General features: G+C 37.4%; 1 protein-coding gene across 8 annotated transcripts in view; it reads left to right on the top strand.

Moving 5' to 3' along the window:
- ITPR2 (inositol 1,4,5-trisphosphate receptor type 2) overlaps positions 1-16484 on the top strand; it is a 497843-nt gene that overhangs the window by 122252 nt on the left and 359107 nt on the right. For 5 of the 8 annotated variants that reach the window (XR_001748686.3, XR_001748687.2, XM_017019266.2 and 2 more), the window contains 2 exons: positions 9712-9771; positions 15293-15337. Coding sequence is in view for 6 of the 8 variants with exons in the window: in XM_017019266.2 (XP_016874755.1) it covers positions 9712-9771; positions 15293-15337 (105 nt within the window). In the remaining 2 variants the exon portion in view is untranslated. The remainder of the gene's footprint in view (positions 1-9711; positions 9772-15292; positions 15338-16484) is intronic. The other 3 variants (NM_001414175.1, NM_002223.4, NM_001414174.1) reach the window with 2 other exon arrangements.

The following is a 16484-nucleotide window of genomic DNA, read 5'->3' as shown; positions in this document are numbered from 1 at the left end:
TACTGGAAGGCCAACTGGAATGGGGCATCTGATTTGCATATGTATGTGATGTGGCCTAAAATTTTCTATTTAGCTTCACCCTTTCAGAATGTCCGCATCATAGATATGATCAGTTCATTGCCCGTGTCATATAGCCTAGCTAGCTTTGGGTTCATCTGCAGTGGCCTCTTTCACTGTGGGTGGCTTTTATTATTCAAATCATTGGGAAGGAAAATGTTTTCTTCGTAAAACTGTCAATAAAATGGTAAAAACGTACAAAAGCTTTTTCTTTATCCACTAAAAGTATGTTGACAGACAGATATGAAGGATGTCAGAAGATATGAAGGATAGGTAGAAATAACATCATGGAAGTTTTACAAATGTTTTAATTAAAGTTTGGTTATCTAATTGAAAAATAATTTTGAAGCTAGTCTTTTCCAGATGTATGAAAATTTCCATTCATGGAACTGTGCTGGGCACTTAGCATTTGATGACTATTTTGTGAATGGATAGAGGATGGGGAGAAGGAGATTTCAGGATTTGTATATGAGATGCATTTGGAGACATATTGGGCAAATTAATCACACTACACTCCAATTTCTTCTTCTGGAAAATGGGGATAATCAAATATATTTCTAATTCTCTTAACTTATTAGAATTAAATTAGGCAAAGTGCTTGCAGAAGTTGTGGTTTATGGTAAGCACAGGGTAAGTGATGCTGGCATGACTAATTTTTGTTTTTGAGACAGATTCTTGCCCTGTTGCCCAGGCTGGAGTGCCGTGATGCACTCAACCTATGCCTCCCAGGTTCAAGCAATCCTCTTGCTTCAGCCTCCTGAGTAGCTGGGACTACAGGTTCACACCACCATGCCTGGCTATGTTTTATATTTTCAGTAGAGAAGGGGTTTTGCCATGTTGGCCAGGCTGGTCTCAGACTCCTGGACTCAAGCGCCTGCCTCGGCCTCCCAAAGCCCTGGGATTATAGGCATGAGCCACTGTGCCCTGCCTAATTTTATGTGATAAACAGGGATTATTTTTACTTTTTTAAGTATCTAACACATTATTTAGTGCTCAACTAGATGAAATACAGCTTTGCAATTTACAGTCTGTTTATAGCGTAAATGTTTTAAAGTAACCCTTTTGAAAAGCAACTCATTGAAGCAAAAATCATTAGTAAGGTAGAGAATCTTGTCTAAAATAAAAATTACAAAAGCCTAACTAGATATCCTATAAAAGATAAGAAATTAGGATTAAAATTCTCTTATGTTAGTGGCTCTTTTCCCCTGTTCACTTTTCAAGCAAATCTACTGATGTGCTGTAGAAAACTGACATGATGTACATGTATATTACTAGTTTTCTTTGTTAATTTCTATAATTAAAACATGTACCATTTGATGCATTCAAATGATTAGATTTTTAAGAATTAAATTGTTCATTAACCTTAGTGAGGATCCAAGACTTCAATATATACACGAATTAATTAAAAATGGAGAAGTAGAAAGCAAATCATTCCTTGAAAAGATTTGAAAGACTCTCTTTCATCCTGTCTCTAGAGAATGCAGCTTTAAATGCCAGGTGCCGTCTCATCCATTAAAGAGTCTGGTGTATTTAGAGGACCTTTTCTTTGACCTTTAATACTTTAGATAACATCTTTTTTATGGTCTAGTGGGAGGAGGAAAATTAAGTATTAAGCACATATCTGAAAACTGAAAGTTACGAATTTATTTTCTACTGATTTTAACTAGTGTAACAGAATGGGTGCTCTGTGTAGTGTTCTAATATCAAAATAGCAATCATAGCCTCAAAATCCTGGCATCCATACATTGGTGTTTTGTATTTTCTATGTCAGTTGGGACAAAATCCTGGTGTGCTCATGTCTCAGGATGCTTGTCCTTACTGGTGTGAAAGTGTCTAGAGGTGTGGCCAAATCACAATGATTTCTAGTCCAGGAACAGCTGGTAACTAGCCTCTGACAGCAGTTGAGAAGCAATGATTACACGTTTATCATTTTGCTTTCTAAAAATGCCCAGGTCTTTATTTCTTTCTTAAACTTTTTAATTTTTATGGACACATAGTATACGTATACACTTATGGGGCACGTGTGATGTCTTGATGCAGGCATACAATGTGTAATAATCACATAGGGTATTTGGGATATTGGTCACCTCAGGCATTTATCATTTCTTTGTATTAGGAACATTCCAATTCTACTCTTTTAGTTATTTTAAAATATACAATAAATTGTTGTTAACTGTGTATTACCCTGTTGGGCTATCAAATTCTAGATCTTACTCCTTCTGTCGAACTATATTTTTGTACCCATTAATCACCTCCACCTTTTCTCTCCCTCCCTGTCACCCTTCCTAGCCTCTGGTAACTATCCTTCTACTCCCTAGCTTCATAAGTTCAATTGTTTTAATTTTTAGCTCCCACATATGAGTGAGAACATGTGAAATTTGTCATTCTGTGCCTGGCTTATTTCACTTAACATAATGTCCTCCAGTTTTATCCATATTGTTGCAAATGACAGGATCTCGTTCTTTTTTATGGCTGAATAATATTCCACTGTGAACAGGTACTACATTTTCTTTATCCATTCATCTGTTGATGTATACTTAGGTTGATTCCAAATCTTGGCTATTGTGTGTAGTGCTGTAATAAACATGGGAATGCAGGTACCTCTTCCATATACTGATTTCCTTCCTTTTGGGTGTATACCTAGCAGTAGGATTGCCGGATCATATGGTAGCTCTATTTTTAGTTTTTTGAGGAACCGCCATACTGTTCTCTATAGTGGCTGCACTAATTTACATTCCTACCAACCATGTGAGGGTTCCCCTTTCTCCACATCTTCATCAGCATTTGTTATTGCCTTTCTTTTGGATAATAGTCATTTTAAACGGGGTGAGATGATATCTTATTGTAGTTTTGGTTGGCATTTCTCTGATGATTAATGATGTTAAGCATTTTTTTATATATTTGTTTGCCATTTGTATGTCTTCTTTTGAGAAATTTGTATTCAGATCTTTTACTCATTTTTAAATCAGATTATTAATTTTTTTTTTTGTCTGTTGAGTTGTTTTAGCTCCTTATATATTCTGGTTATTAATCTCTTGTCAAAAAATGCCCAGGTTGGCCAGGCGCGGTGGCTCACATCTGTATTCCCAGCACTTTAGGAGGCTGAGGCGGGTGGATCACCTGAGGTCAGGAGTTCAAGACTAGCCTGGCCAACATGGTGCCCTGTCTCTACAAAAATACAATAATTAGCCAGGCATGATGGCGGGTGCCTGTAATCCCAGCTACTTGGGAGGCAGATGTGGGAGAGAATTGCTTGAACCTGGGAGGTGGAGGTTGCAGTGAGCCAAGATCGTGCCATTGCACTTCAGCGTGGGCAAAAGAACAAGACTCTGTCTCAAAAAATAAAATAAAATAAAATAGCCCAGGTTTTTTATTTCAAAGCATTAGTCATGTCGTTCAAGTAGGACGGGGGTTCTCTATATTTTGAGTGACAACCTCCTAGAATTATTTGTTTTATTACCCTGTACCCTTATTCTTAGGCGATAGAGGCTCCATGGCACAGATTTATTTTACTTGTTCAGTTTTCTCTTTAATATCTAGATATTATTTTTAAAAAGACACATATTGGGATGTGGGGAATGCAAGAATTGGGAATGATTATTTTTGGAATTCATAAAATTGCAAACATAGTCTTTAAGATTTCATGCAACCTTCAATATATGTTTCTTCAGTGCCTGGTAAATGCACAGCATGGTAGAATGCTGCAGGTACGGCAAAGGAAGCTGAGGACTCAGTCTTTGCCTTCAAAGAATGGAGCTTCTAGTTCGGAAGACAGCGCGGCACAATCAGGGAGGGCTAATTATATGTGCAGGTAGAATTGGGTCATATTCCAGTGAGAGAATCTGGTGTGAGGTTAGTTGAAGATTCTTGCTTGGGGCAAACTGGTTCTCAAAGAAAATAATAGACATGGACTGTTAGAGAAATAAAAGGGCGGTCCTGTGTAAGTTGCTAAGAAGGCGCATCAGAGATACAGAATGTCCAAATCATACATAGACAATATTAAAACTGAGGCCCAGCCCAAGGAAGGTGTTGTGAAAGGAATGACTGACAGGTCTCCTTGCTTTAAGATTTTGAATGAAGGGTTTGACTTTTATCCAGTTTGTAATAGGAATGAAGTTTGAGGAAGTTTAACTTGGTAGCTACCTCGAGGCTGGGACTGATCAGCTATTAGCAGGCCTTTGGTAGAGATCAGTGATGTCATTAAAAAAATCCCAGTACAGTGTGATACATTTATGATAGCAATATGAATAGTGGCCCACACTTTTCTCAGGGGGTCTCAAGGATGTGCAAGAAATGGTCAGGGGGTCAGAGAGGTTGCTGCTTAATGAATGAGTAAGGCACATGGGGAAGAGGGAGAAAGGGCGTTCAGACAGTGAGGGCAGCTTGTACACAAGGAAGGAGGTGTGTGGCACCATACAAACTCGTTTCATATGTAGGACTTGTGAGTTAGGAAGTAATGTTAGAAGGTGAGAGGGAAGCGATGGGGCCAGAAGTGTAGTGCAGCTGATCAGTTCAGGCCATATATATCAAGGAGAATGGGTTTTATCTTTAAAGTACAGAGGAGTATAATAAATAGATTTGTGATTAAAGAAGACCACTCCAGAGTTGTACTGTGTAATATAGTAGTTTCTAGCCACATGTTGGCTATTAAATTAAAATTAATATTATCAAAATAAAATTAAAAAGTCAGTTTCTCATTCACAACAGCCACATTTCAAGTTGCTCAACAGCCACGCCACACGAAATAATGCACATTTCCAAAGAGACAGTTGTGGTGGGCAGCACTGCTCTGGAGCCTTGGTGAAGTGACTAGAAGAAATTGAATCTAGAGGCAGTGAGGCCAGATAAGAGTCTGAATGATCTGCTTTCTACATTTTCTTTCTTTGCCATCTGGTGGAAGTTTTGCCTATCTACAAACAAATAAGGTAGTTGTCTTTAAAAGGGCTATATTACAATCTTTAACAAAGAAAATTATTTTGCATTACTTGACCTATATTGCTTTGGAAAGGTCATCAACAGTTTTTGCTTTAGTAATTTTGAGCACTTGAACCAAGGGAGAGGCTTCAGTAATGGTGAGGAAGGGAAGGGTTGAAGGCATTCTTGGGAGACAGAACTGATGCAGTGGTAAGCCGTCAGGTGTTAAGGGTTAAGGAATAGGATTCTGGCTTTGGAGAACTAGCGATGTCATTCACCAAATTAGGGAAAATGAGAAGAGGTGCCAAATTGATGAGGGAAATAATCCATTCAAATTTGATTATGCTTATAAAATGTCTGGATGAAATTGTCCACTAGGGAAGATTTCAAAACGTCTGGAAGTTTGGGGATTGACCAGTGTTAGATTTGGGTTTTCAGAGCGCAGGTAAGATCATTAGGGAGTAGAAAGAGAGTGGGAGGGTGTTTGAAGGTAGAATCATGAGGAAATTATCTTTAAAGGATGAGGGAGAGACTGGGAGCCTGAGAAGCCAGAAGCACCTGGAAAATCAAATGGGCTGAATTACAAATACCAAGCAAGGAAGGAGAGAACTTCGCAAAGGAGGAAGTGCTACTAAACAGGCCAGAAACAAATCTGCTTACATCAGCTGGCAAGAATGCAATCATTTGTTACTTTATGGGGAAAATTTTTAGTGGAAACCAGAATGCAGGAGTGGAGGAATGACCAGGAAGCCAGGAAGCAGAAGTGGGTGCAGACTGAGTTTTCATAGCACTGCTGTGAAAAGGGGAAGCAGAGTTGCAGGCCAGGGAAAATTAAGAGCCCTATTAGATGATTTTTATAAAATGTATTTTTAAAAATGAGGTGGTTGAGGATGCTGCTGTTTTTGCATTAAAGGGAAGTACCTAGCAGTGCGGCTAGATATTGCAGAGTATTAACCTTTTTTCCCATGACCTTTCCAACTTTAACAGACATATTTATAATTTAAAATATTACTTTCATGTGCTGTAGGCATTCCTGGTAAATTGGATTATGTAATTCTTGAATTGCCTTTGAGTTTATGGTGTTTATATTGGCCAGTGTGACAGAGCCTAGCATAGTGGGAAAAAAATCCCATGCATACTGTTTACAATCTGTCTGACTTTAAGCAAATATTTAACCCCTCTGGACCTGAGTTCCTTTGTGTGTAAAAAAAGTTAAGAATGTATATTATATAGTATTATTCTGGAATTAAAGAAGATAGGGGATGTACAGCACCTTGTACATGAGAGGTATGCAATAAATATTAAGTCTGTTTGCTTTCTTGGGGAGGAAACAGAGAGAAAATGCAGAGTAGTGTTTTATTATTATCATTATTAATAACTAGCATGTCTTAGATAAGTTAAGGAGGGTAAGTATATAGGGGCAAAGTTTAGTTATTTAATATGTTTATCTGGAAAAGATTACTACAATGCTTTGACATAGGAAACACTGCCTCATGGAGCCACTGAAAATCCTTCCAATAATATCTCATGATCTGTTGTGCAGTTCCTATGTCAGGTATAACACACAGCCAGCCAGTCACTTCCGTGATTTATAAATAGACATTTTGGGTGACATTACTCTTAATCAACTGGGCAAAGTATGCTGAGTGCTTATCTAGGAGAACAGCTGAAAAGACTATCCATGACCTGGATTATTAGAATATTTTAACATATATTGCTTTTATTTCTCTGAATTCTTTAGATAAATTTTTCTAAAGCAGAAATGAAGTTTCTTTTGAATAACTTGAAATAGTTTTTTTATGGTCTATACATTTGAGTTTAACTCACGCTATTGTGTAGCAACTTAAATTGTGGTCTTTTAAATAATATAGCGCAGTTAGAGTTCATTGAGCATTTTAGAATTTTAAAAGCCTTTGATTCTGGATAATGCCACAGTTACTCTCCATAAACCTGTTGAGATATTTCAGAAATCCCCCACTTAGGGAGGAAATGTTTATAGCATTTCTTTGGGCTTATCACAGTTCACAGTTAGCTATGCATTTGTTTGTTACCTGTTGTATGTATTGTGTATATCTATTCAATGGCTATTTTGTTCCCTGCAATGAAAGGCCTGTATCTGTTTTGCTCATTGCTGGATGCCTTGTGCCTAGAAGAGTGCCTGACACTTAATTTGCCTTCAGTAACTGTTGGATGATTGAATGAATGAATCACAGGGACTATGACTGTTGTTATAAATCCAATAATTTTAGTTTACAGAAAAAGAAATCCAGGCTCACAGAGGTGATTTATTTTGTTAAAATCAAAAAACCGATATAATGAAAGTATTAGGAATGAATGCTTTCAACTGAGGGTAACGATGGCAATGTCTAGAGACATTTTTATTTTCACAGTTGGGGAATGGGAGCTGCTATTTATTGTCACAGTTAGGGAATGGGATGTAGCTAAACATCCTACTATACACAGGACAGCCCCTCCCAACAAAGAATTATCGGGTTCAAGATACCAGTAATGCTAAGGGTTGAGAAACTCTGATCTGTATTATACTGAAAGTATACATTTATTGAATGCCTACTAGGTAGAAGTACTACTTTGACATTGTGAAGAAAACAGAGATGATTAACACATGGTCCTTGTCCTCTAAGAGTTTGCAATTTAGATTAACTCAATCTCTGGGACATTGAGATCTCTTTTGCCATTGTTTCCACTATACATGCACATCTGAGAGAAATGGTTCTATGTAATGTCTAATTGTTAACATCTGTAGGTGACCATGCTAAGTCTCACAGTAAGTTTAAAGGACTGCAACCTTAAATCTAAGCACAAATTAGATAAGAAGATCTAAAATTTACTTATAGATACAGTGCCCAAGTATGATACTCTATTTTAACCAGCACTTAACTGGATTGTTTAGGTATTCAGAAAAATGTAATAAGCCTAATTATTTATGTGGAAGTGAAGGGGGCACTATCCAAAGGAAATCAGACCATTTGATATGCTGGAAATTCCGTAGTTGAATCACATAGAGAAAACACATATGTTGCAAGCTATTTAAGAATAGCATCTTTTTTTTGGTGAATTGCGGAAAACACCTAGGAACTAGGATAATGATACAAGATTTAACACGGTTTAAGTTTTATCCTGCAAGATAGTAAAGCTAACCAAGGGTTAGAAATGGTCCCTTATTCAATGTAAAGATATCCAACAGGATAGTTTAGGGATTCGGATTAATTTTAAAGAAATAACTCAGTGCTAGACTGTAATCCCAGCACTTTGGGAGGCCAAGGTGGGCAGATCACTTGAGGTCAGGAGTTCAAGACTAGCCTGGCCAATATGGTGAAACCCCCCTCTCTACTAAAAATACAAAAATAAACCGGGCATGGTGGCACACGCCTGTAGCCCCAGCTACTCAGGAGGCTGAGGCAGGAGAATCACTTGAACCCAGGAGGTGGAGGTTGCAGTGAGCCGAGATCGCACCACTGCACTACAGCCTGGGCGACAGAGTGAGAGTCTGTCTCAAAATAAAAGGAGAAAAAAAAAAAAGAAAAAAAAAACACCAACCCCCCACCCCCGCCCCCAAAAACCAAACCAAACCAAAAACCTCAATGCTAGAAACCTATGGATAAAATGTGGAACAAAGTAATTATGAACAAGATAAAGATTTTTGATCTCATGAAGTAATACAGAGCATATTATTAGACCCTTTCTCTTGCAATGTTGGTTTCTGTGGGGCATATATGTAGTTAGGTGGCATGAGGGGAAGGTAAATATACACTGATATTTTTGACACAGCTGTCCACACACTCATCGACACTTTGTCATAGATATTTTACTTGTATTATTATTGTAGTGGTTCAGGTAAGTTCACAACTATGTCTGTGAGGGAGAAAGTAATTTTACCATATTTTGCATAGGAAAATATGGGGACCTCAGTAAATGGGTCTTCCACAGATGTGGGAAGAATTATAAATCAGCCTTCACAGTTTATGATCTGATGCTTTCTGCATTTTCTTTCTTTGGATCTTACTAAAGCAAAAACTTTTGATGATCTTTCCAAAGCAATATAGATCAAGTACTGCATAATAATGTCATTTATTCAAGATTGGAATAAAAGCCCTTTTAAAGATCACTAGCTTATTTGTTTGTAGATAGGCAAAACTTCCACCAGATGGCAGTAAACACTTATTTCCTGACTATTCAATAGCCTGTGGATTTAATTAATTAGCTAAAAACCCAGTACTCAAGAAACTCTATAATAGCATAGGATTTTATGACTATTGGGGCTGTAGTTTTAAATGTCTCTATGTTTAGTTCTCTCTCAAATGTATCAGCCATAGTATGTGAAAAGGGCCTGGTTTGTATGCATGTATATGTATACATAAATACAGCAGACTAACATACAGACCAGACCCTATACATACGAATAAAATGTTACATATCAAAATATAGAAATTGTACCTGACACACATATACACCCAGTAAAGGTTATTTTCTCTCCTTTCTTTTCTAGGCTTATCAATCACAATAATAGATTTGTCCTGAAATGCCAGTCGTTGGAAAGAGAAACATATAAATATAATCATTTAAAAATACACACATGATGTTTATGATTTCAGTGTTATATATAATAAAAATTGATCAAAACACATTTCATTGTAAAAAAAAGTAAAGCTTCTCTTTTAAGAAAATAAGTAGGTATTATGGACTTAAAAACTTACGGTCTGCTTCTTGCTTTTGTGTTAGATGGAGGGGTGCAGTTGTTTTTTAATTGATTGCGGTACAAGCATGACTTTCACTGCCCAGGTATTTATGATGTTTCTCTCTCTCTATCATTTTGCACCATACCTGACTTCTTTATATTCTTCTTTGGCCAGTTAATTGAAGACTGTCTTCAAAGATTAGTAATGGGTCTCTGTATTCTCTCTCTGTTACTCACTGCCATGGCTGCAGTGGACCCTGCCTTTGATCTTGGATATGCCATTGCCATACAAAATCAATAAATTTATCTAAAATTTAATTGTTTCCTTGCAAAATAGTGATTTTTCTTAGTTCATAGTTAAAGACTTGAGAGTCATGATAAACGGTTTTCTCTCTCAGTTTACACATTCAGATTCTACTGATTCTGTCTCTGCAAAATCTTTCACATCCACTTTGTCCTTTTTATTCCAGCATTATTATCTTCATTTGGGTCCACCCACCTCTTCCTTGGACCACTGCCCTTAGTTACTTTCCCTTTTTCATCCTCTGTCCCCTTGCATCATCTGAATATGGATGCAAACTCTCTAGCCTGCGGTTTAAAGGCCTGGATGATCTGGGCTGACCCTCCTTCCCAGCTTGCATCACACCACTCTGCTTTATGGAGGCAGGAGGGAAGCAGCGTGCTACAGGAACTGAAAGACGTGGCTCTGGAGCCCTCAGACCTGTGCTTGCCCACCCTGCCACTCCCCAGCGGTGTGACTTTGCATAAAGCACTTCAGTTGATGTACTCCAAGTGCCTTGTCTGTAAACTGTGTTAAGAATCTTGTCTTATAGTATAATTGTAAGGTTAAATGAATTAACCTGTAAAAGCATATAAAAAAGTATTTCGTAAGTGACACTGGTGGGTCTTCTTTAAAGAAGTCTCATTTTTCTCACCCATGTGGCAGTGGCCCCTCCAGCCTTGCTGCCTTCTTCACTCCCTGGTTCCTGCCCTGCCAGTTAAAATTCTACCCATCCTTCAAGGCTTATCTCAAATGCTACCTTCTCCATGAATAATTTGTGAATAAATTTGCCCACCACAGATCCCTCCTTCCTCTGACCTATATTATTTATAAATTATTCATTCCTGTCTTATGTCCCTTGTCACATTTTATTTTGTATTTCAGCTGACTGTATTTATGTCTTATTTTCCCTCCTAGGTTGTAATGTCTTATGGTCAGGGACCATATTCTCTTTGTCTTTGCTAAAATACCATATGCCGCAATGCTTTGCCCATTATAGATGCTCTATTAATATTTATTGAATAAATGATTGAATGGCATATTAGCTCTCCAATGCCAGATTTATAATTTATTTTTTTAACATAAAGACATTAAGTCCTAAAAGACCTCCATATGACCATGTCTTTTTCCTCCTTCTTTAAAAAATAATTTTTTTCTATTCATTTTTACTCTCTTACTTTAAGAATTACTGCTATTATTCAATTTAGAGATGGGAAACAGCAGTATAATTTAAAGCATATATTTATTTGGCCTTTAATAGTTAACGTTGGTAAATTTATATGGCCCTGGATTTATTTGGGTGGCTTTTTGTCCTTCTTTCCCTTCTCCTCTTCCTTTTCTTCCACATCATTATTGTTATTATTATACTTTATTGAGTTTACTGAGGTAATCTCTCTATGTTAATTATTTAAAAAATCATATTGCAGCCTGAGAGACACAGATGAGGCAAAATCTAACTGATTGGCACCATCTGTAGTTTTGCTGCCAAAGATATGAATATGTAAAATTTATTGACATAGAGTCATGGTTTAGTCATAGTCTTTTTCTCATTTTGCAGATGAGGACACTGAGTTCCATGGGCATTAGGCCACCTTTCCTAAAGATGCTGGTGTTTCCTTATAGAGCAGAGACTGGAATCCACTTCCCCAGACAGCCAGTCAGGGACGGGTAATCCTAAGCAGGGGAAATACGTAAAGACTGATTGTAGAAGGTAACATTGTCTTTGGGGTAGAATATATGATCTAAGTTTCAGAGGGCATAAATTATTTTATTTTGTGTTTGACTTAGGTACATTAATTCCTGTTTTTGTGCATGTTTTAGTGGGGGATATGTCATGGTTTCCAGCATTGAATTTCAAGTGTCTGTAATAACCATTCTAATGTGTATTGAGTGAAAACTTGGGCCATAAGGTACATCCTTGGTCGAACATGTTGCATATCATTTGGATATAATTTAGCTAAAATTTTAGGATGGATTTTTTTTAATTTAAAAGAAAAGTTGAAATTTTTCAAGCAGAAGACAAATAAATTTTTAAAAAAGCTATGGTGAAACTTGACTAAAATAGATGAATAAATTTCTTCTGGACACCGTGCTAGAATTTTCTTTACTAACAAGTGAAAATGTGTTTCTTTAATCAGAAGAAAGGAGGCCAGTTAACTCACTCTTTGCTCTCTACCTTTCACTCTTGGATTCTAAAAGCAGGATTAAATCCCGTTTTGAAACTAATTCTGTTACTCATAATTCAAGGGAACTTAAGGAATCTGAGGGAAAGTCTGGGTCTCTGTAGACAGAGGCCAGCCTCAAGTCCCCTCAGTGGCTGTCCCAGCATTAACAGGTGACCTGTATCTTCTTACCCTCCTTGTGTGTCAGTTCTGAAAACTGAAAGACTGCTGTCATGAAACTCTTGGTCTGGGTAATGCTTTCCATCCATACTCCCTTCCCTCACACTCCTACTCATTTTCTGATTTGTTTCACCATAATGTAGTTTTGTTTGTTCGTTTATTTCATTTAAATGGAATCATGCAGTACATTGTGTTTTGTGTGTGCCTTCATCCACTTAATGTCTTTGAGATTCATTCTTGGTTGTCGCTTGCATGAGAAGCTCGTCATGTTCATTGCCGAGTAGTACTCCATTGTTTGAATATGCCACATTTAGTTTATCATTCTTCTCTTACATGACATGCTTTTAAAATCTTAGCCTAATTTCTGGCTCTGTTTTACACCCCTACCACTGTTTTCTCTGCCTTTTCCCCTTATCATCTTCAAATGAATGTGTCAATCTTTTGTGGTTGATTTCAATGGATAGAGTAACCTCTGCATACACAATTCTTTCTTCAGCTGAGGAAAATTTTATCTTCTATTATCTTTGATTATTGTTTGTGTTCCACTTATTCTCTCTTCCATTTGAGAGCTCTGGTCCCTCATTAGTTGGTTGTCTCTTCTCTGGTTGTCTGTGACCATTTTCTTTTTCTAATTATCATTTCTGGATACCTTCCTTCTGTATGGAGGGATAGCTGCTAAGCTGCTCATCCTCTGCATTGCTGATTTTCTGTAACTGTGCTGTTGGTGCTAATGTGGACTTTAATTTTGTATTTATGTTTTCATGTATATTGAAATATGAAGAAATTCCATAACTTCTCTTATATTGTATTATTTATATTGTTATTTTAGTATTTATATATTATTATTATTATAATTATTTTGAGACAGAGTCTCACTTCGTCATCCAGGCTGGAGTGCAGTCACTGCAACCTCTGCCTCCTGGGTTCAAGCAAGTCTCATGCTCAGCTTCCCAAGTAGCTGGAATTACAAGTGCGTGCCACCATGCCCAGCTAATTTTTGAATTTTTAGTAGAGACGGGGTCTTACCATGTTGGCCAGGATGATCTCGAACTCCTGATCTTAGGTGATCCACCCACCTTGGCCTCCCAAAGTGCTGGGATTAAATGCATGAGCCACCACACCCGGCCACATATTGTTTCTATACTATCATTTTAGCTCTTTATGTTATTTCGTTGCCTTTATGTAGAGGTCATGTTTACTTGTACTTTCCTGAGAATGCCAAACCATTTCCTGAAAATTCATTTTGCATCATATCATAGGAAATGTTGAGAAAGACTCTGAGAAGGAATCTCCCTTGTTCTAACTCAGTGTTCCATCAGTCCTATTTTCTTTTTTCCTTCCTTTGTTCTTTCCTTGTTATCCTCAGATGAGTGAGCTCTGTGCAGAACCAGAGGGTTGAGTGGATTGTCCTTTTGTTCAATTTTTAAATTCTCTAGTATGAAAATTCAGTCCTCTTTCTAAATGTTCAGCTGCAGGGCTGGCTGATGGGTGCATTTGCAGCGCAGTTCCCAGATTTGAGCAGACATCGACTCTATGGATTCTATGGACTCTACACACCTGGGTTTAACTAAGGCAGTTGCTTCTGTGTCCTACCCCTTTGCTATTTCTGCATCATCATGCAATGTCATTCCAGCATACGGCATTCCTTTTCTCTCTTCACACCATGCTTCTCAGAAAGGCCTTGGCCATCATCTTTTCCCTCCACTTTCTGCCCACTTGTTTTCTGAGCATCTGTTTGGTCATGTAAAGTCAGAGACAGGTAGCAGACTAGGGAAGCAGTTTTCTGCGTAATTTCATGGCAGCTTGCCAGTGATAGAGAAACTCTTCTCTATAGGTTTTTGGTCGGTAAATTCTCTGGGTTTCTACGTCAGCGTTCAAACTGACTCACTATCTTCTTATCTTTGTTTACGTGGCCACTAGCTTAAAGAGACGTTGAAGTTTGCCACATGATAAAAACTGGGTCATTACCTGCCTGTCCCCAAGAACTATCTACTTTATAATTAGCATCAGTTCATTGAAGATTTGGAATTTATGTTGTTTTTTCAGCCTTAGTTCTTAATGAGATTGGGATTTTTTTTGCTTTCATTTTGCTTTGCTTTTGTTTTTTTCAGAACCCTCATTGGTATTTAGTGATGAGTTGGAAGGGGCAATTCTCAGAGCTGCTAGATAAGTGGTATTATGAGAAAGACTCCTAACCTTACATTTTAAATGATAACTTTACTGGGATTGTGCATTGTATACACCAGTTGATTCACATTAAAATGATTAAATTCAATTGGACAACTTGATGTTTCAAGAAACACACCTCATACATCTATTGCTTTACGAGTGATCAACTATTTCAGAACAACTAAGAATCGCTTTGAGACTGTAAGGACAAGTGGGAGTGAGGAGTCATGGATTTCAACCAGCCAGATGATGCAAGGGTCTGTACTCAGCACATCCAGAACTCATCTTTGTCATCAGATTGGCCCCAAAATGCCACTCTCCAAGCCCGAAGACATGTGTTTGTTTGTTTCAGTAGTCCTCATGTATTTGCTCACATATCTTATATGTAGCTCCTTTTTTGCTCTGTTTTGTTTTTCTTTTCCTTGTGTACATAACATGTAAAACATGATCTCAAATCATCAATGTCCCACTGGTTTTTTTTGTTTAATTTGTGTCTGAGTTATTGGTAAATGGCAGTTTTTGCAGAGGGTAAAATGGTGAACTCTATTGAATATTTTTCCAGAGGAGGTGATATTGTCAATTCTTACTTCTTCAAAGATGTCAACAGTTCTGATATAAACCAAGGCAATGAACTTGGCATGTCAGCTTTTGTCTCCTGCAACTAGGGTTTGATGGTAGTATTTTAAATTGTCATATTTACTAATAGTTTCTTTCTTAGCATCTTTTTATATTAAACTTAGTTGAGGATAGAATATTAATTGAATTGAAGATCAATGGTCTTGTTAGTGTGCTTTTCATAGCAATGAAAAACTAAATTTTCCTTTGTTTTTCTAGCTTAATCCTGATTATCGAGATGCCCAAAATGAAGGAAAAAATGTGGTGAGTAGAACTGGCTTTTCTCCAACAAATCTCAGCATATTGTTATTATTTTATATGGATAGATTGGAATTTTAATAGCAAATTTGAAGACTAGGGGCTCAGAGAGATTTTCTGAGTAGAGCCTATGGTTCACAGGTAAAAGATGATATGGCTTAGATTATGAGAAGATGTTCAATTATGGGTGCTTGGGAAGAGTTCTGCAACTTGGAGGCCATTGTTGGTGGAGTGCTAAAGGCAGCTGGCATCTGAGAGATATGGTGGGTCTAGGTTTAGTTTTATTTACCCTTTTTTCTTCTGTAAAGAAGAAAGCTTCATGGTGACAACATGGCTTCTTTATTCAATCAAAAATTCAGAAATTCAGGACAATTTGATGTGATGCAGACAAAATCTCTGGATGTTGGGCTAGATTTTTAAAAAGTTTTAAAGAGCAATTTAACTAGATATTTTGGCGTAATCTAGATACGGTCTGTAATTCAATTTTCTTAGGAGTTTAGCAATTCCTTTTGAAATTGGTAGGTATTATTACTCCATCATTCAAAATTTTACCCTTTGACAGAAAGAATTGGAATGTTTAATTAACATGGCCAGTATCTTTGCATTGATACATAGCTTTAGGATTTGTGAGGATATTGACATGGGGGAGGTGAAACCAATCAGAATTTATGTACCTCATTCAACCCTGTTTGACCCCCTTCTCTGTCTGACTGCCAGGCTTACGATAGAAATAAAGCTGTGAAGTATCAGGTAATTGGCCCAATGAAACCTTTAACATATCAAAATGTCTCTAAACGTAGAGGTAGGTTTATTCGATTAATTGGATCTCCTATTTATAATTCAATTTTAGCGCACTGGGTGGGCTCTTCTCTTGTTGGTTTTCACATGGCTGCCCCAGGATTGTTGGGTTCTTACTTTTGTATGATTTAGGAAAATGCTGTCAGTAACCAGGTTTAAAAAGCAAAGTGTGAATCATGGCTTCTTTGGTTCTTACTATAAGCTTGTCAATGGCCTCCACCCAAAGACCATCAGGAACACATGGGTAGTTGAACAAGTTGGGTTTATTACTTATGCAGTGAGAAAGGAACATGCCATGAGGAGCTGTGGGGCATCTCAGAGCATGTTAGAAAGAACTTACTAGAGGATTTGTGTT

The sequence above is a fragment of the Homo sapiens genome, chromosome 12, assembly GCF_000001405.40.
Source record: "Homo sapiens chromosome 12, GRCh38.p14 Primary Assembly".
Taxonomy (NCBI): domain Eukaryota; kingdom Metazoa; phylum Chordata; class Mammalia; order Primates; family Hominidae; genus Homo; species Homo sapiens.
Note: the sequence above shows the minus strand (reverse complement) of the source record. Positions and strands in the feature narration are given on the sequence as shown.